Source organism: Homo sapiens, chromosome 17 (assembly GCF_000001405.40).
Source record: "Homo sapiens chromosome 17, GRCh38.p14 Primary Assembly".
In the NCBI taxonomy this organism is placed as follows: Eukaryota; Metazoa; Chordata; class Mammalia; order Primates; family Hominidae; genus Homo; species Homo sapiens.
In genome coordinates, this window is record NC_000017.11 from 34,234,864 (window position 1) to 34,259,561 (window position 24,698).

The 24,698-nt window shown below is 45.8% G+C and overlaps 1 protein-coding gene across 1 annotated transcript, besides 3 other annotated features; it reads left to right on the forward strand.

Moving 5' to 3' along the window:
- Positions 17,001–18,200: an enhancer, noted in NCBI's record as "BRD4-independent group 4 enhancer chr17:32578883-32580082 (GRCh37/hg19 assembly coordinates)". NCBI's record gives its function as "activates an origin of replication core promoter dependent on BRD2, P300/CBP, MED14 and CDK7 cofactors, and independent of BRD4, by STARR-seq in HCT116 cells {active_cell/tissue: HCT116}" and the evidence as "EXISTENCE:reporter gene assay evidence [ECO:0000049][PMID:35650434]".
- Positions 19,144–20,118: an enhancer, noted in NCBI's record as "OCT4-NANOG-H3K27ac hESC enhancer chr17:32581026-32582000 (GRCh37/hg19 assembly coordinates)". NCBI's record gives its function as "activates a minimal SCP1, AML or CMV promoter by ChIP-STARR-seq in naive H9 embryonic stem cells {active_cell/tissue: H9 hESC(naive)}" and the evidence as "EXISTENCE:reporter gene assay evidence [ECO:0000049][PMID:30033119]".
- Positions 20,119–21,093: an enhancer, noted in NCBI's record as "OCT4-NANOG-H3K27ac hESC enhancer chr17:32582001-32582975 (GRCh37/hg19 assembly coordinates)". NCBI's record gives its function as "activates a minimal SCP1, AML or CMV promoter by ChIP-STARR-seq in naive H9 embryonic stem cells {active_cell/tissue: H9 hESC(naive)}" and the evidence as "EXISTENCE:reporter gene assay evidence [ECO:0000049][PMID:30033119]".
- Positions 20,422–22,340, forward strand: CCL2 (C-C motif chemokine ligand 2). Its single transcript, NM_002982.4, has 3 exons — positions 20,422–20,562; positions 21,359–21,476; positions 21,859–22,340. The coding sequence occupies exons 1-3, from the start codon at positions 20,487–20,489 to the stop codon at positions 21,962–21,964; spliced, it is 300 nt and encodes a 99-aa protein (NP_002973.1). The 5' UTR covers positions 20,422–20,486; the 3' UTR covers positions 21,965–22,340.

Consider the following 24,698-nt stretch of genomic DNA (forward strand, 5'->3'; position numbering starts at 1 on the left):
ACAGATATTCACACCCTAGAGCGCCTACCATTCCCACCCTTAGTCCCTGGGAAGTAGAAACCAGGACAAATTCTCTCACACAAGTCCTTTGAAAAAGGCCTACTCACGCCTGTGGAGACATCTGACCACAGGGCCAAGTCTTATCCCAGACAACCTCTACATTCTCCAAAGCAGCCATCTCTTTGACCTTGAAAAATCAGGCAGTAATGTACTCTTTTCAGGGTAACACTGAGGCTTAGATGAGATGCTGTATTTAAAGCACGTAACACAGGGCTGTGCACACAGTAGGAGCCCAATAAATGAGGCACTAGTATGATGCCACTGCTATAATTAACTGAAAGCACAGCTGAATGCAGAGATAGACACCCAGACAGGGTGTTCCTGCAGCCTCTCTGCATCAAGACTGGCTAGGGGAAGATGTTCTGGAAAGCAGGCCTGGAAGGGTTTTGCTCAGCTAAAGCTGACCTGGGAATCAGACAAGAGGAACAGAGGCAGGGGGAAGGAAGGAAGATATTAGTCCAGGGCAGGGGCTGAAGTGTCCCGAGGGCCCTTCTCTTCACTAATTCCTGATGAAACTGGAGCTGGAAATTCACCGCCAAACTCTGAGGACTCTGGGAATGCCCCTCCCACCTGCTCCCTTTTCCACATTTTCACATGGCCAGATTCCCTGTATGCTCTGAGCCTTCAAGATAAAGTCAGTAATTTCCTCCCAGGCCCTGAAAATGGGAAAGTCCCAGCTATGTTGATTGTCCCTACAAGGCAAGACAAAGCCTGTTTACAGGCCTGACCTCTGAGCCCTGAAAGCAGGTCACACTGTGGCCTCTTTCCAACCCAGCTCTGGAGCTATCCAGCAGCCATAGGAAGGCCTGCCAGCTACATCCTTCATCCTCCCAGCCAGGCCTGCAGTCATTTGGGAAGTCCCAGGGATTCTCCCCACCCAGAGAGATAAACGAATTCTTCCCGGGTACTCCAGTGGAGCTTGGCACTTGCTAGAATAAGAGGGAGGTCAAACTGCCCTCAGTGTGAGGGCATCACTTCTGCAGCCTTTGTTTCTGTACCCCTAAAAGAGCAGAAATGAGTGACTTCACAGAGCTGTGGACTCAGATTTCACAGATCGAGTGCAGAGCAGGAAGTCAGGGGTACAGGGACTAACTGCGAGCTCATACCTTGTTGGAGGAAGCAGCCTCACCATCCCCACAATCCATATATTCTTCAGAGGGATGGCCAGGCCATGTGGGCAACCAGGCTGGTCTACACCCCCAACTTGGAGTGGGAAGGTCCAGGACCGCCCCCCAGGCTTGACATCTCTCCAGCTCTCCAGCTGTGCAGTCTTCATCAAGGCTTAGCCTCTCTGGGCCTTCATTTGCTTGCCTGCTGACTAGTAATGACTGAACCCTGAGTTGTGAAGCAGCTAAGGCCTGCGACACCCCTGCCTCTGTGCCTGGCAGGTGGGTCCCCATCAGTGTGTGCCATTCTCCCTCATACCCTAACCCTGGGTCTTACTCTGCTTGCTGCACCAACTGCCCTTTCATCAACTCCTCTGCCCACCAGCAGCACATTCATGTGGTTTTTCTGAGAAGATTCCCTTCTGTTTTGTGAAATAGCCAGCAAATAGGGGCTGTCCTGTCCCAGTAAAAGGAATTACTCCAGCCCCAGGGCCTTTCCCCACGTTAACGTGAAGATCTCTATACAGCCACACAGAGGGCCTCCAAAGAGGCTTCTCTTACTCAACGTTCTTCTAGGGGACAGCAGTCAAGCCCCACATTCCCCATCCCCCAAGTTCTGCCAAGAGCCACAGCTGGGCAGGACAAGACCGAGCCACATTTCTCTTGGGACTTCCTCATTACTGCTTATCACAACCTTGGCACGCCAAGCACACCATGCCATCAACCCACTATACCCCAACTCTGCCATGGTTGCTCAGCCTGGCAAGGCCCAAGTCTTCTGCACTACTCCAGCTGCCCTCAGCAGAATGTGTGTGTCTTCAGAAGGTCTTTTTGCCAGGGCATCAGCTCCATTAATCCCCATGGTGTGCTAATAGGGGACAATCACTCTGCTAAATACCCCATGTCAATAAATATATAAGGCAGGATACTCTAATCCATTGTTATCCCAGACCAGAACATTAGGCAGCAATGAATCACTAGCAGAGAAGGCATTCACGTTTCAATTATCTTTTAATCTTTCTGATTCCATCAAGAAGAAAACCTTAGTGCTTATACTCGCCAATCTGTCTCTCTGTCTGTCTGTCTCTCTCTCTTCAGTGAGAGAGTAAGCTTATAAGCTCAGTACTCAGTACACCAGGCAGGCAGCTGCATCAAGTTTGAGTCAAAAAACAAGTTTGTTTTGATTGTATCTATGGCAGGCAATACTGCTTCCAAATTTGTAACAGTTATACATTTCTTTTTAAAATGAATTTATTTAAGAAAAAAATGAGTCATTTTACATAAAACCACTAAGTATATAAGTGAACAGTGTTGCAAAGACTTGTCAAAAATCTCAAAGGTAGAATACCAAAATTGAGAATATGCTTTAGCTGAAAGGCATGCCACAGTAGTGAGAATTCCAGGCCCTGGGACTGGCTGGTAGACAAGGTGTTTGGGACACAGAGTTCCTTAATTTCCTTTCAAATCGCAGTTCCAAGGTTGCCATGTACCCATAGGATAAGCTCCACCTTTCATTCTTCTGTCCATTCATTCATTCAGGAAGTAGTTAAGTTTTATTTTCGGTGTTTTTTGTTAATACTAAAAAATTGCTGAACAGAGAGCTCTGTCCAGCACCAAGTCTGGATTCTATGGAAGAAGTTGGGGAAACAGGACACAAAGTTGTCCAGCAAAGTCTCTGTTGGTGACTGAGTGGCTGGCTAGGGTCCCTGGGCTTACCTGTCGGGTAGGACCTGGGCTGGCTGGATGTGGGCTGAGGTCAATGTGGTGCTGGTGCTGGTGGCCAGCTGCTTCTGTGGCATGTATCATGTCTGAGAAAGAATGGTGCACCCTGATAGGTCCACACAGTGTCAGAAGGCAAGGTGGCCAGGTCACAGGCTGTCACTTATTAAAACTGTGTCATAGAAAGACCATACAAATGGAAGTCAGATTCTAATTTCTATTCAGTTTTCACCTGGTTGCATGGCCTTGGGCATGTCATTTTGTCTCCCCAGACCTCAGTTTTCTCATCTGCAAAAGGTTAGGGGTCTTCTATTAGCTGAGAGGACTATTAGGAGAATTAAAAGTGAGCTTCGTCTAGGCAGAAATCATGTCTGTTCACGTAGAAGTTATGTATATCCAGTATCTGCCCCATGGTAGGTTCCTTTTTTTTGTTGTTGGAGTTTTGCTCTTGTTGCCCAGGTTGGAGTGCAATGGTGCAATCTTGGCTCACTGCAACCTCAGCCTGCTGGGTTCAAGCAATTCTCCTGCCTCAGCCTCCCGAGTAGCTGGGATTAAGGCACGTGCCACCACACCCGGCTAATTTTTGTATTTTCAGTAGAGATGGGGGTTTCACCATATTGGCCGGGCTGGTCTCGAACTCCTGACCTCAGGTGATCGGCCCATCTCAGCCTCCCAAAGTGCTGGGATTACAGGTGTGAGCCACTGTGCCTGGCCAGATGCTAATTATTTTAATAAATTAATATATATAAGGGTCCAGCAGAAATCTCCTGCATATGTAAGTTCTTGAACCTGGCAGGTCTGATGAGAACTGCCCCTCCCTCTACTCAGCACCAGAACTTTTCTGTGGTGAGGATGAATCAACCACAGGGCAACAATGGGGGAAGGTAATTGAAAAGCTCAGTGGTTCTCTGTGGATCCTGAGGACTTGGAAGGTGGCAGAGGGATGGATCCCAGTTCCTAGGTCCAGCAAGGCACCTGGGTGTAGGGCCAGCCCTCCGCTTCTCTAAGCTTTAGCATTGTCAGTTTGTCTGAGTGGGGAAAACAGAAATATTCTCAGCTAAAACTCTGACCATGGAGCAGCAAGAAACACTGGCTAGCAAAAGGGAAAGGTCAAATAGCTTATTATTTTCCTCTTGAAATCCGCCCAAGGCCTGGTATAAAGGGAAAAGCCACAGGAAAGCGTGTGGACTTTCCCAGTCACAATTACTAACAGCTGCTCCTGCATTCTGTAGCATCTGTGATATTGTAAGAGGCCCCTTTGTTCTCTAGAAAACCAGACACATTCCTTCCTCCTGAGCCCCAGCCACCCACGAGAGTGGGTCAAGTTGGGTGCATTTTGCAAGCTGCTTTGGAGCAGATAAGATAATTTCTTTCTTTGAAATTTCTCCTATGTCCATTCAACAGAGCATTAATAAGCACCTTCTTGAGCCAGGCATTATCTCTGCAGTAGACATCCAGGAGTCCACGGAAAAATCAGAGAGACAAGCAGGACCCAGACAATCAGTGAAATGTGAGTGCAATAGAGTAGAACCCTTGTGTGGGGTAAACGTCAATGTTGCAGAAATATAAAAGAAGGGTATATTAGTCAGAGTTCTCCAGAGAAACAGAACTAATAGATTACACATAGAAATACAGAAAGATGTGGCCAGGTGCCGTGGCTCATGCCTGTAATCTCAGCACTTTGGGAGGTCGAGGCGGGCAGATTACCTGAGGTCAGGAGTTTGAGACCACTCTGTCCAACACGGTGAAACCCTGTCCCTACTAAAAATACAAAATTAGCCAGGTGTGGTGGCACAGGCCTGTAATCCCAGCTACTTGTGAGGCTGAGGCACGGGAATCCCTTGAACCCAGGAGGCAGAGTTTGCAGTGAGCCAAGATTACACCACTGCACGCCAGCCTGGGCGATAGAGTGAGACTCTGTCAAGAAAAAAAAACAAAAAAAAAAAAGAAAGAAGAAAGAAAGAAAGAAAGAAGGAAAGAAAGAAAAAAGAAAGAAAGAAAGAAAGAAAGAAAGAAAGAAAGAAAGAAAGAAAGAAAGAAAGAAAGAAAGAGAGAAAGAAGGAAGGAAAGAAAGAAAAAGAAAAAGAAAGAAAAGAAAGAAAGAAAGAAAGAAAGAGAAAGAAAAGAAAAGAAAAGAAAAACAGAAGGATTTATTATGATGGGTTGGCTCATGTGATCATGGAAGTTAAAAAGTCCCACAATTTGCCATCTGCAAGCTGGAGGCCCAAGAAAACTAGTGATGTAGTTTCAGTCTAAGCCCAAAGGTCTGAACACTAGTGAAGCCAATGGTGTAAGTCTCAGTCCAAGTCTGAAGGTATGAGAACCAGGAGCACCAGTGTTCAAGGGCAGAGGAAGATGAATGTCCCGGTTCCAGAAAAGAGAGAGTGAACTTGCCCTTTACTCTGTCTTTTTGTTCTTTTGAGCCCTCAATGGATTAGATGATACCCTCACACATTGGTGAGAGTGATCTTCTTTACTGTCTGACAATTCAAATTGTCTTCTCTTCTGGGACCATCCACACAGACATTCCCAGAACTACTGTCTTACTAGCAATCTGGACATTCCTTAGCCCAGTCCAATTGACATACACAATCATTAACAAAAGCATCTTTTCCAGCCATGGTTTGCAGGGGGAAGGCCTTCTGACCAGGGTTTTGTGGGATAAGTAGACATTGGTCTGGTAAAGAAGATAACCGTGCAAAGATCCAGAAGTATGCCTTTGGTGGGTGGAGGGGAATAAAACTCTCTGCAACCAGTTTGGCCTTTCTGGAGGCAGGGTCCCTCAGGGGAGAGAAGAGAGGTGAGGCTGGAGAGGGAGGCAGTGGCCAAGCCACAGCCAAGTTCTGGACGGGCATGCTGAGGGCACAGGGGAGCCAACAAAGGGTTCTCAGCAGGGAAATGGCACAATTGGCTTCACATTTCAGTCTTTTGGTAGCAGGGTGGAGGATAGATTAGAGGTGTGAGATTGTAGGCAAAGAACCAAGCCAGGAACCTTGTGGTATCCAGGAAAACAGTTTTAAGAACGCAAAGATTAGGAGGGCAACGAGGGACTGTACTTGGAGTGTAGGGTAGATGAAAGAATCTAGGAGTCTTGTCATTTCTATTCAGTCTCCTGAACCAAAATTCAACTCCTGAAGTCATAAACCATGTTTCATCAATCCTGGTATCCCAAGTATCTAGCATAATGTCTTGCACAGAAGAGACCCAATTTTGTTAAAGGATGGGTGGATGAATGAATGAGTGAATGAATGAATAATGAATCTTTCTCTAAGACATCACTAATGTCTAATCAATGTTGGTTATTATTATTATTATTATTATTATTATTACCCTAGCTTCCCTGTAGGGAAAGTGGAGGCCCTGAAGAAGTCAGAGTCACAGAAAACTTTACTCTGCTCAGACTAGAAATTCCCCTCCTTTGCTCAGAGAGGGCCAGCTGGAGTCAGCGGGGAGGAAGAGCTCTGGGCAGGAAACAGAGTCCTTCCTGGCTGCTGTCCTGGCCTTGGCTTTCTGCCTGTAGGGCTTTCCGGGCCACAGCTGGAACTTTCCCGTTGTGCTGGGGACCTAGACATGGGAGGCAAGGCAGGGTAGTAGAAGATACCCTGAATTTGTGGTCCAGTTCAGCCACTTAATTGCTTATGGCCTGAACCTCAATTTCCTCTTCTGAAAAATGAAATCGACTTCATAAAATTGCTGTAAGGATCTAAAGAGGCAAGGCTATTGAAGATGCTTATTACAGATACATTTAACTAGTATGAGTTTGTGTGTGACAGCAGTATAGCAAAAATGCCCCAGATTTGGAGACTTGATTCTATTATCTTCCATCTATGTGGCCCTGGTCAAAGTGTTTAACTTCTCTGAACCTTATTTCTCAATTCTCAAAAGGGAAAATAAAGTGCCTGTTACGGCAGGCTGTTGTAAAGACCAGAAATCAGAGATTATAGACAAATAAGCTTGATCAACTGTAAAATGCAGCTTATCTCTAAATCATTATAATTGTAGTTATAATAATCATAATAGAAAAGGCAACTTGATGATTGTTTTTCTTTGGAAGCAGATTATTTGGTCGGCTTAGAGAGTTTTGTGAGCAGAGACAGGTGTCCTGGGAGCTTTGAGACTGGCATGTGAATGGCCATCAGTTAACACGTTCATGCTTCAGTTTCCCTTATCAATGCTTCAGGTGGCTGAAATCATGTCTTTTAAGAGCTCTGCACATCCTGTGACCAGCATGTGACCCAGAAGTATGTGACCAGACAATTTCTTTAAGGGTAAAGTGTATAAAATAAGAGTGACTGCCAGAGATTTATCCAGCATCTATGCTTGGGGATTTTGCAAATCATTTAGCAAGGACCCCTGATGCTCCAAGCAGCTTGTGGCAGAGGAAAGGCTTCTTCTCAGAAAAGGAATTAGACACCAAGTTCCAGCCCAATCCCTGGTCACTAATTTGTTTTGTGACCTTGGGCAAGTCACTGCTTTCTCTGTGTTTTAGGATCATCAATTTGCAAAACGAGGTTTGGATGCCAATGCCATGCAATGTTCATATCAGCCAACCCTCCCCAAGATGGCTGCACCCTCTGTTGGCAGGGTGGTATCTTAACTTATAGGATGTTAGTTACCCTGAGTTCTAGTCAGCTTGGAGAAAAGGCCACAAACAAAGGGTGAGGGGTCTGGAGTCATAGTAACCTCTGGATTTTCCCGAGAGTCTAGCTAAGGACCCAGCATCCAGCAAGATAGGAGACCAGTTTGTTTTGCAGAAAATGGAAGGAGAGGGACAAAGGCTTTTCCAGCTTTCTTTTTCCTAGAAGTCCTAGAAACTAATATCACCCTGGAAAAAATCTCTGTCATCCCTCAAAATGGGATATCTGATGTAATCGAAACTGCCAGCTTGGCTGATGACAAATTCCAAGGGGATGAAAATGAAATGAGAGAAAGACAAATGGGGAACTAGAAAAAAAAATAACTGTCAGAGAAAATAAGCAGCGGAAGCTGATGACCAAAAAGGGGAACCAAAGTCTTAATGTTTGGCCTGGAGTAGTGAAGACAGAAGAATTACATTACAAAACACATTCGAGAAATGGAAATGAGGAGGATGCGGTTTAGGCCAAGATGTGAGGGCAGACCCTATTGTGGGCCACACCAGGATTCCAGTCTGGGTGTCTAGACCCAACTTCTCACCAAGATGCCTGGCAAAGCAGTAGTTAAGAGTCCAAACCATGCTGGGCACAGACACAGAAGACCTGTTTCCCAGTCCTTGCCCTGTCATATTCTCGCACTACCACTTTGGGCAGGTCATTTGACCTCTCTGTGTAATGGCACGATAGTCTCTGTCTTGCTGTCTTACAAGGTTGTCGTGGGTATGCAGTGAAGTGACACTAAACACTGTGCCCTGAACACAATGCCTCATGTTCCATTCAATGGGAGAATTCCAAGAACTGAGATATTTCCTTCCTTTGCAGCTGTCTAGGAAGTGAAAAAGTAACGGAAATTATAAAGAAATTCAGAGATTTTTATTTCTCCTCTGCATATGAGGGCCTGAGACAGCCAGCCACTCAGCCACTGTCATACAGTGTTTCAGGCAAAGTGAGTCTGTGCCCAGTGTGGTTCAAACCCAGTCAAACCACAGTAGCCATTTTCAGATTTTAACCTTTTTCTTTAGCTAATATCTAACTATCCCCAACCTCTCAACTTATTCATTCAGCAAAAATGTGCCTGATATAGAGCTCATGACCAGCACAGACTAGGCACTTAATTACTGTTTATTAAATTAATGAATAAATAGGCAAATGAATGAATAAGTAAATGCCAGGCCCTGTCCTAGGTGCTAAGATAGATTCAAAGAAGAATAGGTAGATTCTACCATATATTTGACAAAGAAAACATACCCAGAAACCTTCAAAATACAGGGTGCAATCAAAGGCTGTCATAAAGGAATGCAAAGGTTTATGTGTCCAAACGAGTCTGGAAAGACTTCCTGGAAAAGGCTTGGCTGCCTTTTCCAGGCAAGAGAAACAATGCCTGCAAGGGCACGTTCTGGGAAAGATGAGAAAATTGGTTATTACTGCAGCACAGGGTATTTGAAAGAAGCGACTGATGAGACCTGACCTGAAAGGTGCTGTGGGCCAACATTTAGGAATGAACAGGAAGAGAAACCAGTGAAGATAGCATAGATAGAGAAGAGGCCAAGTCAGGCCTTCCGATGGCCACACTGAGGAGTTGGGTTCTAGTGCATAGACATGGAGAGTGGTAATTTCTGGGTATGAAGTCATTTAAGCAGATCAGACGGGTGGTTTGGGATAGATATATTTGCTATTAGGACTAAAGTTGGTCTGAAGCGTAGTGCTTCTCTTGGCAAAAAATGATGTGAAACTGTTTAAATAGAACTCAGAGTGAGGCAGAGTCTTTGGGGATGAAAAAAAGGAAATGAATGCTGAGATGCTTCAAGAGTGGAATGCACAGGTCTCAGGGACCAATTAGATGGGAAAGGAGATGGGGAGGAAATCAAAAGATGGATACCTGCTTTCGACCTTGACTATCTGGGTGGGTAGGGGTAGCAGATCTGGGAGTGGTGTAATGAGACCAGGAACTGCAGAGGACTTATTTGCCTTCCTGGCACTCAGCATGATGCCTGGCAACGTAGTGATGATGGCATCAAAAGATGGTTTGGGGAGCTTTAAGACCCCTCTCCTCAAAAATTCATCTTAGATTCTGCCCCTCCAAAGCCACCCCAAATGAATACACAAAGAAGGGAAATAAGTGTACCTCCTACACAAATGCAACCTCTACGCCAGTCCTCTATTACTTCTTCCAACCAAATTGATTTCTCAAGGCCCTCTTAAATAGGGATTTTGTATCTGCCATAGAGGTTTATTACATCTTGGTTGAAAAATAATAAAAGAAAAGAAAGAAGAAAGACAGGGAGAAAAAGGAGAACTGCAAAGAGGGAAGGATGAACTCATTGAAGTTGAGTGACATCCAAGTGTAAATGTTCAGTGGGCATATTGAAACACACATCTAGAACTCATCTAAGAACCATTTACTGAATTATGAGAGCTGAAATATGTGAGTTATAGGAAAAAGACTCTACACTCAACTACAATAGGGGCCAGGCAAATAAGTGAGTGAAATAGACCAACAATATGAAAACAGAGAAATTGTGGGTGAGGGAAGGGGAATTTCTGGTGACCTGTGAACATATGATTTACCTAGAGGGATGGCTGTCCCTCTGCTCTCATGGATTGTTGCCATCTAGGAATGTGACTTCAAATTGCCAAATCTGATTCCATCCAGGCAAACCAGAAATTCAGATTTTAAAATGAGAAATCTGCCCATTTGAAGTATTGGCAATTAGTTGTATTTGTTTTAAAAACTGTACTGGCCAAACAGGACATGCCTGCAGGCTGGAACCAGGTAGAGGCCACCAGTTGGCAAACTCTCACGAAGAGTGAGAATGAAAGTATGAATCTTGGCTGGAAGTGGTGGCTCCCACCTGTAATCCTAGCACTTTGGGAGGCTGAGGCAGCTGGATCATCTGAGGTCAGGAGTTCCAGACCAGCCTGGCCAACATGGTGAAACCCTGCCTCTACTAAAAATACAAACATTAGCTGGGTGTGGCGGCACGTGCCTGTAATCCCAGCTACTCGGGAGGCTGAGGTAGGAGAATCACTTGAACCTGGGAGGCAGAGGTTGCAGTGAGCCAAGACTGTGCCATTACACTCCAGCCTGGGCAACAAGAGCAAGCCTTTATCTCAAAACGAAAACAAAAACAAACAGAAAGTATGAATCCTTAGAGAAGACCAGCATTTAGGAATAAACAGGAAGAGAAACCAGAGAAAGTAGCATAGAAAGAAGAGGCAGAAAGTAATTTGAGGAGAAAGCAGAGCACAGACATAGAAGGGGGAGAAACAGTGGTAACTTGGCAGTGTTTTCAAGTTGGATCTGAGCTACGAAGAATCCTTCATATTAGGTAATGAGGAAATCATTCGTGAAACCATAAGAATTTCAGTTGAATGATAGGAGTGGAGGATAAATGGCAACAGGTTAAGGAGTTAATTGGAGGTGGAAATGGAGAGCCCCACAGGTAGAGATTGATCATTCAAAAATGTTTCTCAAGAAAGGAAAGAGAGAGAAGGGAACTGGTTGAAGGAAGATGAGGTTTAGGAAAATCCCCTAAGACTTGAGTGTGTCAGTTGGAAGAAGGGAAGGGAAGAGTGGAAAGAAGATGGAAATGGCATGAAGATAAAGGAAAGTTCCAGTTTCTGGAAGATACAGGAGGAAATCAAGGATCTAGATTGAGCCATGACCCTCAACAGGAGCGACCCGCTCTTCTGAGCCAGGAAGGAAGAGCTGTAATCACGTGAAGATGGAGTTAAGTTTTGATATGAGCACGGGATGGGCATGGAGAGAATTCTTATCTCACAGCCTCTGCCTTCACTGGGGAGGAGGCTGTCTCCTGAGAATGTTGAAGCCTGAGACAGGAGCCCAAGATGCTAGGGGAAGGGTGAAGGTGTGGAATGCCACTGTGGAGTATGGCAGCGCCAAAGAACTAGGGGCACATTGCGGAACAGCAGCAGCACTGAGGAGTCTGTCGCATCTGTGGACCTCTTGTCCTTAAAGATATCCAGGCCTTCCAGCAAGCCCAACAGCCTGGGAGTGGTCAGGAATCAGGGGGAAGATGATCCGATGACCTGGGTTTGGGCACTGGCAGGTGTGGAGATAGAATTGTAGAAATGAGAGCATCTGTATGCTGGTAGGAGAGTGGTCAACACTGGGCTGGACTGGGGAGGAAAGGAAGCCAGGTAGGGGCTAAGGGACCTGGAGGAGCTGATGCAGTAGATTCAGAGTTGCTGAAGGGGAAGGAAATAGAAGGCTGTGGTCAAAGGACTGGATTACTAAGTGGAACATTACAAAATGGAGAAGTTCAGGGAGATGACGAAGTCCAAAGGGTGGCCATGCAGCAAGGCTGATATGAAGTGGTGATAAGTTCACTTGAAGAGGGACCCAGAGGAAACTAGAGAACTTACATTCCCTAAATATTTCCTTCCCTTAACCTTCTGCTCCTTACCAAGCCTTCCATTTACAGCATGGGTGCAGGTGACCTTGAAAGGGGAGCCTTAGAATGAAAGGAAAAGAAAATAAGCAGGAGAAGAAAAGGCACGGATTTCAAGGAAAAAAACACTTGGATGGTAGATCATACAGAAGATTGGGCTTGGAGTGAGAACACGTGAATTTAAATCCCAACCCCTCCAGTCCCCAGCTCCCTTGTCCTTGGGCAAGTCAACCTCGAAGGCTTCATTTCTCTGTCTATAAAACAAGGAAATGACACCAGTGTCACCTACATAGCAATGGCTTTGTGGGAATCCCATGATTTAATGAATCATAGAGGACACATAAGGGGTTGTGGTTTTTGGCATCTCATGACCCACAATTTTAAAATCTTTCCTTGTTAACTGCACAGGTGTTCTAGAAGATATTCAGTAAGTATTTAAAATTAATGTTTATTGTCATGAAATCAGAATTGCATAATGACAAGGCTAATGCCATAATTTTGGAATGTAAATACATCCTAACTGCATTGGGAGCAGAACATGGGACAAATGTGGGCTAAGGACATGCTAGAGCAGCGAACTAGCCATAATAAATAAATATTTGTGTGTCACTTGCATAGTCCTTTTTGTCACCTCGGGGTACAAATAGTTCACATCTCTCTCATTATGTTCATTTAATTCCCAGGCCTCCAGGTTGTCCATATTAGGAGGAAGTCTAGTAATTCATGGTTAAGCCCCCTCCCAACATCCTTACAGTGTCCCCAGAACCTTGAGGACCTATTCAGTCAAGCTGAGAAAGCTTTGCTGCTAAGTTTCAAGCAAAGTGGAAGCTGGGTAACCTGACCCTCTTACCAGTGGCCAGGACTCCTGACTGCCATTGCTTCTGTCACTGTCCCCAGGGTACCTATGGATCCCTGGCCTCACACCACCTAAAGATTTTCCTGTTCCTTGCTCTCATGGTACCTCCTCCAGCCTTGGCCACAGTGTCATCCTTGGGCCCCCTAGGTTTCAGCCTCTTGAGTTTGCACTTGCAGGTTTGGCTGTTGCTCTCAAAGCAGGACTATTGCATCAACATGGCAGGTGCAGAGGTCTTCCCGCCTCAATCGTCACCCACTGATTTCTCTGCCATGGCCTTGAACTCAGGCGACCAATCCAGTTGGAACCTCCCCACACTCTCCGTGGCTAATAATTTTGGACTCAGAAGAAAAAGCCTCAATTTCTCTCCTCTCAGGAGGTCTCTTGGTCCTTGAGCAAATGTATCCATTTCTTCTCCTATCTCCAGTCTTTGGGCCCCCAAAGGTTTTTTTCTCCCTTTCTCCAGGACAATGAGTGCCTATTTACAAGTGCCTGTTTCTACTTGAATAAGGTTTCTATAAACTAAGAAGTGTTCCTTAGGGACACAAGTAACTGGCACTCCTGTTGGAAAATGCTAAGATCTAGGTCACGCGCACTTCCCCCAACAGACACATACACACATTCACACACACACACACACACACACACACACACACACATACAGCTTGTCTGCACTCTAGCACTGGCACTGACGCTAACGCTATAATCCTGGGCAACTTTATTTCCCCATCTTACATTAAGCAGTGGTGCAGGGATTTTCAACTCTGGGATCTCTATCACACCTCCCAGCTCTGATTGCTTCCTAATTTACATATTTATTGAGCATCTGATGCTAGGTCCTCATGCTGGTGATGCAGGAGTAAACTAGACAGACAAAAGTCCGTGCCCCACATTGTCTGACACCTACACACCTGCTGTTCGGACTCCATTACAAACAGCTCCAAGGGGAACAGTGCACTTGTAAAGTTTCTCTCATTACCATGGCCACATCCGTGAGCAATAAATAAGTTGCATAGTTGAATTATTTGATAATGCTTTGTTTTTAACTCCCTGCACTTAAGTCAGAGATGTGTGTGCTTTGGAAAACTATTTTTCCTGACTCATTAGACAAATACTATTTGCATTTTTATTCAGCTTCCTTCCTCAGACTCTAATTTACAGTAAAGGCAAGAGGATTTTTGAATGGAGCCAGTGCTTTGCAATGTGGGGCTCCACCAGCTAGCCGACTGAAATCATTAATAAAGAAGCCTTTTTAAGTGGCTGAAGTTTCCCCTTTTTGGCATGCAACATTTTGCAACCAAGCGGAAGAAACATCATCCGCAAAGAAGAATCCATGTGGCCCCTGAAAATCACTCTCTCTGCTACAGGCTCCCCACTCCCCAGTGCTCCCCTTAGCCCTGCCACTATCTCTCCTCCAGATGGAAAAAGTGAGGAACTCAGGGAACCAAAAGTCTTGCTTCTTTACTAATTTCCCTGTCTGACATTAAATCATCCTACAGTTCAGATATCTGGGGGAAGTGACTAGAGATTCTTGAACTGTTAATAATTAATTTAAATGATATTTGTTAAGAACCTACGACATGGAAGATACTGTACCAGGTGCTGGGGTCCAGCATGGGCAAAGGCCTCAAGGTGGAATGGAGCTATGGTGTGTTCTGGAAGCAGAGAGTGGGGCTGAGGGTGACATGAGGTGAGGAGACAGGAGAGGGCCTGGCAGGGTGGGACCTTCTGGTGAGAGCTGGCTGCTGTGTGAGGAGCTGAGGCCCTGGCTTGATTCTGGGGTTACTTCTTTGACCTTCAGCTTTTTGTCATGGGCAGACAGAATGGGGATGAAAAAAAGCTTAGGAAATGGAAACCTCCCTATGCATTATATAATAAAAATGGCCAACACATTTTCATAGCAAGATATCACAGCAGAAGCTTGTACTGGGCATCAGGACTGTAGGCATCCAATGCCCAGAAACTGGCATGTGCCCTGGGACATCCCCTGAGAAGGCATGCCACGAGCCCTCAGACTGACACAGCTCTTTACAAGTTGCTTACAGAGCACTCTTGGTTTATTAATTCATACAAGTCTCATGACAATGTCAGAAGCAGCTGTCTTACTAATCCCCTTTGACAGAAGAGGCCCAGAGAGGTCAAGGGACTTGCTCAAGGCCACACAGCTAGAAAGAGGCAGAGCCAGGCCTTTGGCCCTGGTGTTCTGACACCACCTGGGGCTCCTTCTGTTATTCCATGCTACCTCTTCTTTCTCTTCCGTATTCCCTTCTCGTTCCCTTCCTTCTTGTGTCTTGCTTCTTATCTGCCTGTACTTATTCCTGTTGGTGCCTCCCAGCTCAGCCAGCATAGCTCTGTCTTCAAATACCCCATGCTTCATTCTGGGGTCCCATACACAGTCTGACAATCATCTGAGGGGGCTGTGGGAGGACATAGAAAAAATACAGCTTTACATAGAAAAAAATGCAAATTGTAGCCAGGCGCAGTGGCTCATGCCTGTAACCCCAGCACTTTGGGAGGCCGAGGCAGGTGGATCACCTGAGGTCAGGAGTCTGAGACCAGCCTGGCCAATGTAGTAAAACTCCTTCTCTACTAAAAATATAAAAATTAGCCAGGCGTGATGTCATGTGCCTGTAGTCCCAGCTACTCGGGAGGCTGAGGCAGGAGAACCTCTTGAATCCAGGAGGCGCAGGTTGCAGTGAGCAGAGATAGTGCCACTGCACTCCAGCCTGGGTGACAGAGTGAGACTCTGTCTCAAAAAAATAAAATAAAATAAAAAATGCAGACTGTGATTCAGCAGGTCTGGGTTGAAGCCCAGAACTCTCTGATAAATTCAATGGCACTTAACTACTTGGAGGTCATGGATGCCTTTGCTAATCTAATAGAAGCTACTGACCCTCTCTCCAGAAAAATGCACAAAAACATAAATGTGGAAGACAACTCCTGATGGATCTGGGAGCCTATCCAAGGGCCACAGACAAGAGTCCTGGTCTGGACAAAATGAGCTGCTCAGTATTTTCCCACCTGGCCAGCATTTCCTATCCAAAGACAAATGTTAAAGTTGTTCTAGCAGAGCCATGCACCAGCAGCAGTATCATCACCTGGGAACCGGTTAGCAATGCAGAACCGCAGGCCCACCCCAAACCTACAGTCAGAATCTCTACTTTAGCAAGATCCTAAGGAGATGGGTAAGCACATTACAATTTGCAACCTTTGTAAGTTTGCCCAAAATGTGACCCCTCCTTCACCCACCGATCGCCAAGGTTCAAAAATCTGCCCAACCCTTGAGCCCATCTTAAATGTACCATCACGAGCCTTCCCTGGGCCCCTCAGCTGGGACTCTCACCGCTCTGTATCTTTCTGGTTAATGCAATTATTCTGTTCCCTTAGATGACCCCAGCACAGGTGCTAAAGGAGTCAACAAAAGGCTATTGTCAAAAAAGTGTTTCTGTCTCCACTCCATCTGATCTCTGTTTCCCTAAGACCTGCCCATCCCCCTCTCCCAGTTCGGCACCTTGACCCCCTCATCACACTGCTCAGGCCACCTTGTACAATGCAAGCCCCAAATGAGGAAAGCATTTTCTCCCCCAATGTGTAACACGAAAGTGCTGTAGAGTGGCTCACGCTGCCTTTAGCCTAAGAATTTATTTAACTCTTACCCCCAACCCACATCAGTCTCCTCCCTCTAGGGCTCAGGTGCTAATCTGTGAGGGCTGGCTCAGAAGACAATCTAAAGAACAAGCCTCTTGCTTCCTCAGGCATCACTACTCCTCACCACCATCACCCCCACCCACCAACTCAGGCCACTACTCTTTCTGTTCTCATATGCTATGCCCATCGCCACCCCTATTCCCATGCTCAGGAGTATTCTTGGCTACTGCATGCAATTAGACCTGGGGCAGATCCAATCCAGAAAGCAAGAAATCTTAGATGCTGGAAGCTTGGGGTAAGTACTGATCAGATTTATTCCTAAATTCAGTCCTACTTTCCATGGATTCTTACTTTAGCATCTCTTCTGAAAAGGAAGCATCATGTCTAATTCACTTCTCCCTCCCTGTGCAGTCCTCTACCTGGTGCTCTGCACAGGGTATGTGCTAATTGTATGAATGTTATAATAAAGAGATAGTGCAGTAGATGACAAAGGGCACTACATTGAGAGCCCAGAAATAAGCAAACCAGCACAAATGTAGCCATTCGTCTTCTATCTCACCTTGAGCCTGTCACTAACCTGTTCATGGCCTCAGTCTCCCCATCAGAGAAACAGGTAGATGGTCTCTAAGGTCTCGTTCATTTTCTGACATTCTGTGAAAAATTAAGGAAAGATTTTCATCCTTGACAGGAAAGGGATTGCAGAGTAGCGGCCCTGGGAAAATGGGCTCTATTCTACCTGGAGCTAGCCTGGAGGAGAGGCCTTGAGTGGGGGTTGTCTAGAAAGGACATGGTGAGTGCAGAGCTACGGTGCATCTCTCTTGAAGGCTGAGTGAAGGGAGCACCAGCAAGGGAGCCTGCACTAGGTGGGGAGGGACAAGTGAACCGCAGAAGTTGGTGGGAGCCCAGGCAGTGGCTTCAGATCTTTCCAGAGAGCTCACTTTTACTTCCTCTTTTTTTCACCCCTGACACTGAGTGGGAGTCTGCAGCGATGACCAAGGTTCATGCAGAGGATCTTAGTGGTGGGGTCAGACCCCGGGAGGAATGAAGAAAGCATTATTCACCAAGAGGAGCTTTTCCATTCTTTATCTATGAGTTGATAGAGAGGAGGCCCCGGGGTAACTGAGGATTCTGGACAGCATCAGAGCATTGACCCTCATTTTCCCCATAGCCCCTCTGGGGGCCTTTCCCTTGTGTGTCCCCAAGCGAGAGTCCAACCCAGGTTTGTGCCAGAGCCTAACCCAGGCTTGTGCCGAGATGTTCCCAGCACAGCCCCATGTGAGAGCTCCCTGGCTCCGGGCCCAGTATCTGGAATGCAGGCTCCAGCCAAATGCATTCTCTTCTACGGGATCTGGGAACTTCCAAAGCTGCCTCCTCAGAGTGGGAATTTCCACTCACTTCTCTCACGCCAGCACTGACCTCCCAGCGGGGGAGGGCATCTTTTCTTGACAGAGCAGAAGTGGGAGGCAGACAGCTATCACTTTCCAGAAGACTTTCTTTTCTGATTCATACCCTTCACCTTCCCTGTGTTTACTGTCTGATATATGCAAAGGCCAAGTCACTTTCCAGAGATGACAACTCCTTCCTGAAGTAGAGACATGCTTCCAACACTCAGAAGCCTATGTGAACACTCAGCCAGCAAAGCTGGGAAGTTTTTCTCTGTGACCATGGGCTAATTGGTCTCCTTCTCTGGATTGTGGCTTTATCAGATAAAAACAAGTGGTCATGCCACAGGATGTCTATAAGCCCATTGATTCTGGGATTCTATGAGTGATGCTGATATGACTAAGCCAGGAGAGACTTATTTAAAGATCTCAGCATCTTTCAGCTTGTTAACCTAGAGAAAACCCGAAGCATGACTGGATTATAAAGGGAAATTGAATGCGGTCCACCAAGTTCATGGTAAAGGATGCACTAACTGATTAGAGAGAGGTTTCCCCTGATATGAGGAAAACTTCTTGGAAGATGAGGTGAGATGGCCTAGGAAGAAATTCCTACACAAAGTTGCACAGTCTCTAGTCCTGGAAACATTTTATTCATTGGATAAGAATGGATTGAGGCATGAGCAGAGGACTGAGACAAACACAGAGAAGTTTCAACACTGGTTGGGGAGAAAAGGAGTAACTAGTGAGATTCAGGCAGAACAAGAATAAGGCTCCTCAAGAGGCACAAGCAAAGCAGGGCTCGAGTTGATTTGTTCTCTCTTCATCCTGCTTTTTGTAATTCCACCAGAGTCTGAAATGGCCACTCCATAGAGTCTCTGCTCTGGGATTCTCCAGGAAACCAATATCCATCATGAGACATCAAGTCTAGTCCCAGGAAGAAGAGATTCTGGAATGGAAACATCCTGGGTGGGAGTCTCAGCACATCTACTATTCTGTCTGAGTTACTGGACAAATAACTTCAGTTTTAACCTAACGAAAGCTGGGTTGGTTGGAGGACTGGGCAGGCAGCGCTGGAAAGTATGTCAGCACCATACCTGACTCCCTGAATGCACTCAACAATGCCATTACTGACCACTTACTAGAAATAAAACAGTCATTTGTTGAATACAACCCGTTTCTTTTTACAAGTGTAGTGAAAAGTGTTTTCTTTCAAGAAACCCCATGCATTTATAGACATTGCCTCAGTGACCCTTTATGAAAGAAGTCACTAGTCTTTGTATGCCCATTGGGCAAGGGCACCGCAAGGCTCAGAAGGAGGAGGCAGTGGGCTAGGAGAATCGAGAGATCAGAATTTTAAACTCAGCCCAGCCATTAACATGCCTCAAGTACTCCTATCATATTTGTAAGAGACAACAGTTCACTGAAATGAATTCTAAGGTCTTTGGGTTTTTATCAGTGTGCTTCTGTAGTTTCTGAGGAAATCTAAGGCACAACTGAGGAATGAAGTCAGGCTTTCCAATTCCCGAAATACTCCTCCACTGCTTACTCATGTCCCTTGGAAATTAAGAAGGAAGCCAGGAGAATAGCTGCCATAACCAGGGATGAACTTCTTGTCCACTGCTGCCTGCTATGCTAGCAACAGCCTCCTAACTCATAATGACTTAGCCATGAGGAATGTTTCTAGATTCTCCTTTAGCTGTCTGCCCATTTGGAAGATGCTGAGGACAGAGAGAGGACCCAAGCAGGCAACTAGTTGGAGGACTTGTACACGTTTCCTTCCAGCAGTATGTCAGAGAGGTGGCAGCCCACTGGGGACAGGGCTGCCTGGGTTCTGTGCTCGAGGGGACCTTGAGCAGGCTATTTAACCCTTCTGTGCCTCAGTTGCCTGATCTATAACATGAAAATTAGCAATCCCTACTAGATAAAGTTGGGGAATTTACAGAGTTAATATTTGTAAAGGTCTGAGAATATTCCTGGCAGAGTAAGCACTCTGTGAGTATGACACTGGCATTTCTTCTGCAGCACTACATGCTGTCTATGCCTTTGTCCAAGTCTGAAACCCTAGAACTCTTAGAATTCAGTTCAATGTTTACACAATCCTACAGTTCTGCTAGGCTTCTATGATGCTACTATTCTGCATTTGAATGAGCAAATGGATTTAATGCATTGTCAGGGAGCCGGCCAAAGCTTGAGAGCTCCTTCCTGGCTGGGAGGCCCCTTGGAATGTGGCCTGAAGGTAAGCTGGCAGCGAGCCTGACATGCTTTCATCTAGTTTCCTCGCTTCCTTCCTTTTCTGCAGTTTTCGCTTCAGAGAAAGCAGAATCCTTAAAAATAACCCTCTTAGTTCACATCTGTGGTCAGTCTGGGCTTAATGGCACCCCATCCTCCCCATTTGCTCATTTGGTCTCAGCAGTGAATGGAAAAAGTGTCTCGTCCTGACCCCCTGCTTCCCTTTCCTACTTCCTGGAAATCCACAGGATGCTGCATTTGCTCAGCAGATTTAACAGCCCACTTATCACTCATGGAAGATCCCTCCTCCTGCTTGACTCCGCCCTCTCTCCCTCTGCCCGCTTTCAATAAGAGGCAGAGACAGCAGCCAGAGGAACCGAGAGGCTGAGACTAACCCAGAAACATCCAATTCTCAAACTGAAGCTCGCACTCTCGCCTCCAGCATGAAAGTCTCTGCCGCCCTTCTGTGCCTGCTGCTCATAGCAGCCACCTTCATTCCCCAAGGGCTCGCTCAGCCAGGTAAGGCCCCCTCTTCTTCTCCTTGAACCACATTGTCTTCTCTCTGAGTTATCATGGACCATCCAAGCAGACGTGGTACCCACAGTCTTGCTTTAACGCTACTTTTCCAAGATAAGGTGACTCAGAAAAGGACAAGGGGTGAGCCCAACCACACAGCTGCTGCTCGGCAGAGCCTGAACTAGAATTCCAGCTGTGAACCCCAAATCCAGCTCCTTCCAGGATTCCAGCTCTGGGAACACACTCAGCGCAGTTACTCCCCCAGCTGCTTCCAGCAGAGTTTGGGGATCAGGGTAATCAAAGAGAGGGTGGGTGTGTAGGCTGTTTCCAGACACGCTGGAGACCCAGAATCTGGTCTGTGCTTCATTCACCTTAGCTTCCAGAGACGGTGACTCTGCAGAGGTAATGAGTATCAGGGAAACTCATGACCAGGCATAGCCTATTCAGAGTCTAAAAGGAGGCTCATAGTGGGGCTCCCCAGCTGATCTTCCCTGGTGCTGATCATCTGGATTATTGGTCCGTCTTAATGACACTTGTAGGCATTATCTAGCTTTAACAGCTCCTCCTTCTCTCTGTCCATTATCAATGTTATATACCCATTTTACAGCATAGGAAACTGAGTCATTGGGTCAAAGATCACATTCTAGCTCTGAGGTATAGGCAGAAGCACTGGGATTTAATGAGCTCTTTGTCTTCTCCTGCCTGCCTTTTGCTTTTTCCTCATGACTCTTTTCTGCTCTTAAGATCAGAATAATCCAGTTCATCCTAAAATGCTTTTTCTTTGTGGTTTATTTTCCAGATGCAATCAATGCCCCAGTCACCTGCTGTTATAACTTCACCAATAGGAAGATCTCAGTGCAGAGGCTCGCGAGCTATAGAAGAATCACCAGCAGCAAGTGTCCCAAAGAAGCTGTGATGTGAGTTCAGCACACCAACCTTCCCTGGCCTGAAGTTCTTCCTTGTGGAGCAAGGGACAAGCCTCATAAACCTAGAGTCAGAGAGTGCACTATTTAACTTAATGTACAAAGGTTCCCAATGGGAAAACTGAGGCACCAAGGGAAAAAGTGAACCCCAACATCACTCTCCACCTGGGTGCCTATTCAGAACACCCCAATTTCTTTAGCTTGAAGTCAGGATGGCTCCACCTGGACACCTATAGGAGCAGTTTGCCCTGGGTTCCCTCCTTCCACCTGCGTTCCTCCTCTAGCTCCCATGGCAGCCCTTTGGTGCAGAATGGGCTGCACTTCTAGACCAAAACTGCAAAGGAACTTCATCTAACTCTGTCCTCCCTCCCCACAGCTTCAAGACCATTGTGGCCAAGGAGATCTGTGCTGACCCCAAGCAGAAGTGGGTTCAGGATTCCATGGACCACCTGGACAAGCAAACCCAAACTCCGAAGACTTGAACACTCACTCCACAACCCAAGAATCTGCAGCTAACTTATTTTCCCCTAGCTTTCCCCAGACACCCTGTTTTATTTTATTATAATGAATTTTGTTTGTTGATGTGAAACATTATGCCTTAAGTAATGTTAATTCTTATTTAAGTTATTGATGTTTTAAGTTTATCTTTCATGGTACTAGTGTTTTTTAGATACAGAGACTTGGGGAAATTGCTTTTCCTCTTGAACCACAGTTCTACCCCTGGGATGTTTTGAGGGTCTTTGCAAGAATCATTAATACAAAGAATTTTTTTTAACATTCCAATGCATTGCTAAAATATTATTGTGGAAATGAATATTTTGTAACTATTACACCAAATAAATATATTTTTGTACAAAACCTGACTTCCAGTGTTTTCTTGAAGGAAATTACAAAGCTGAGAGTATGAGCTTGGTGGTGACAAAGGAACATGATTTCAGAGGGTGGGGCTTACATTTTGAAGGAATGGGAAAGTGGATTGGCCCCGGTCTTCTCCACTGGGTGGTCTCCTCTGAGTCTCCGTAGAAGAATCTTTATGGCAGGCCAGTTAGGCATTAAAGCACCACCCTTCCAGTCTTCAACATAAGCAGCCCAGAGTCCAATGACCCTGGTCACCCATTTAGCAAGAGCCCAACCCCCATTCCTTTTCTCACAGACCCTGACCCCTGCATGCAATTCTTCCCTTAACATATTGCAACTGCCCCCTAACTGGGCTACCCACCCCCCAATCTGTACCTCTCCAATTAATACCCCAACCTGGAGTAATACAGACACTGCCAGTATTAGGAAATAAGGAAAGAGTTAATCACCATAGATAAGATGATTAGATTGAAGTTTCATAGAGATGATGAGACCTGAACTTATTATTTATGAATGAAGAAGGCTTTTCTAGGAAAATTATAGGATCATTAAGAAAGGAGAAGGAAGAGTGGGAGCAAATACCTGGAGGTAGAAATGGTGATGATGTGTACATCAAGCAGGGAGAAAACCAATGAACCAGATGCGAATTCGGGCCCACACCAATGTCAAGGGATGACAATTAGAAAGGAAGGTTGAGTCAAGGGATTTGAATGTTAGGGTGAAAAGTTACTACTCAACTCTGTAGGTTAAAAGGAAACGTTGAGAATCTTCAGTCCAATGAGGAGGGATGTGCCATGTTTAGAGATTCAGAGATAAGTTTCAGGAAATGTAACTTATAGATTTTATACATACACAGAGAAATACGGACTAGTGAGAAGCTATTGCCATGGTCCAAGCAAGAGATGATGAAGGCCTAAATATGGAGCCAAAGAGGCAGCAATGAAGAATGAGCCATGCAGGGTGAAATGCTGCATGTTGTAAATGGAGGAGAAAGACCTGTGACTTCAGATATGAAAACCTCATCTTCAACCCACATTTTAAGGGGGCAGCTTCCCTGAAACCAGAATGTGTTTCCCTCCATTACTATACCCCCATCCCAATCTCAGGCACCTGGAATCATCCATTTAAACAGATGAGCCTTCTATTCCTAAATAGCCACCTGAAGTGTGTATTCCTTTGCATGATATTTGTCCCACCTAAAGCATTCGACCTGCCTGGGCACCCACACCACGCCAACACTCAGGAAAGCAGATGTCTTGCTCTGTTGAATAAACTGCATGGTTCTTAACTTCCCAGTCTGGTGGGGAAATGACCACTGTGTCAACCTAGAGCAGGCAGTGCTTTTGGCAGCATGAGGTGCTGGGGACAACTTTGACTGGCAAGAAGCACACTCAGGTTCTCACCCCGCATCCAGCGCTGACTCGCTTTGTCAGTCAAGACAGGTCAGATATTCTGAGCCTACATCGATCATACAGGTATGATAATGTGTTACAAATAGGAACCCAGAGGAAAGGTTCCCTTTCGGATCTGGGAGCACATCTGTTGGAAAACTTCCATTTCTACTAACTGGAGTTGCAGAGGGAGAGAAGGGATTCTGCTTCTACATTCCTGAGCCAGTCCAGGGTCCCTGAATCAGACTACCGAATCCCTTCAAAGCTCCAAGTACCCTGATATATCAGTCAGCAGACAATTTATTGACAGCTATTTAGAAAACTCACTGACCCTCACTCCAGGTCAAGCAGCGTCCCCTGCCTCTCCTCTACCCCTACATTCCCTGGCCTTGATCACCAGTCAGGAGTGAAATCTCAAATTGCAGTAGATGCCAAGAGGCAAAAAGAGAATAGAATGCAAACAAATGAGACCTCATCATACGGCTTCCGAGCAGCAACCTTTTGACGCCAGGCAGATTTGAGGCAGACAGTCTGGGAGGAGAGGAGGCAGAGAAAGGGGGGATCCACATGCTCAAACCCCAAATTAATCTGCTTACATTCCCCTTGCAGGCCACATCTCTTCATTTTCAGGAAGTCTTGACTCCATACTGTTTTCCACCCAAGCATGGAATTCCTTTCATGATGAAACTGAACACAGGGCATTGGCAGTGGTGAGACTCTGTTTTAGAAGAAAGTGCCAAGTGCAATGCATTCATTTCCTGTTGCTGCCAACAATCAGTTCCAGGAAATCTAGGCTTTTTATGTCATGCTCAAAATTCTTCCAGCCTATGCTCATTATTCAAATCCAAAGCCACATCCACATCTGTAGGTGTTAGTTACAGAAGCACCATATTTCCAGGTACCAAAATCTGTATTAGTTTCTTATTGTTACTGTAACAAATTCCCATAAGCTTAATGGCTTAAAACA

What these genes read in the sequence shown, in the direction of transcription:
- CCL2 (NM_002982.4), top strand. Translation starts at nt 20,487, where the DNA reads ATGAAAGTCTCTGCCGCCCTTCTGTGCCTGCTGCTCATAGCAGCCACC. An exon ending in CCAAGGGCTCGCTCAGCCAG is followed by an intron (nt 20,563 to 21,358) that starts GTAAGGCCCCCT and finishes TTTATTTTCCAG; the next exon opens with ATGCAATCAATGCCCCAGTC. An exon ending in TGTCCCAAAGAAGCTGTGAT is followed by an intron (nt 21,477 to 21,858) that starts GTGAGTTCAGCA and finishes CCCTCCCCACAG; the next exon opens with CTTCAAGACCATTGTGGCCA.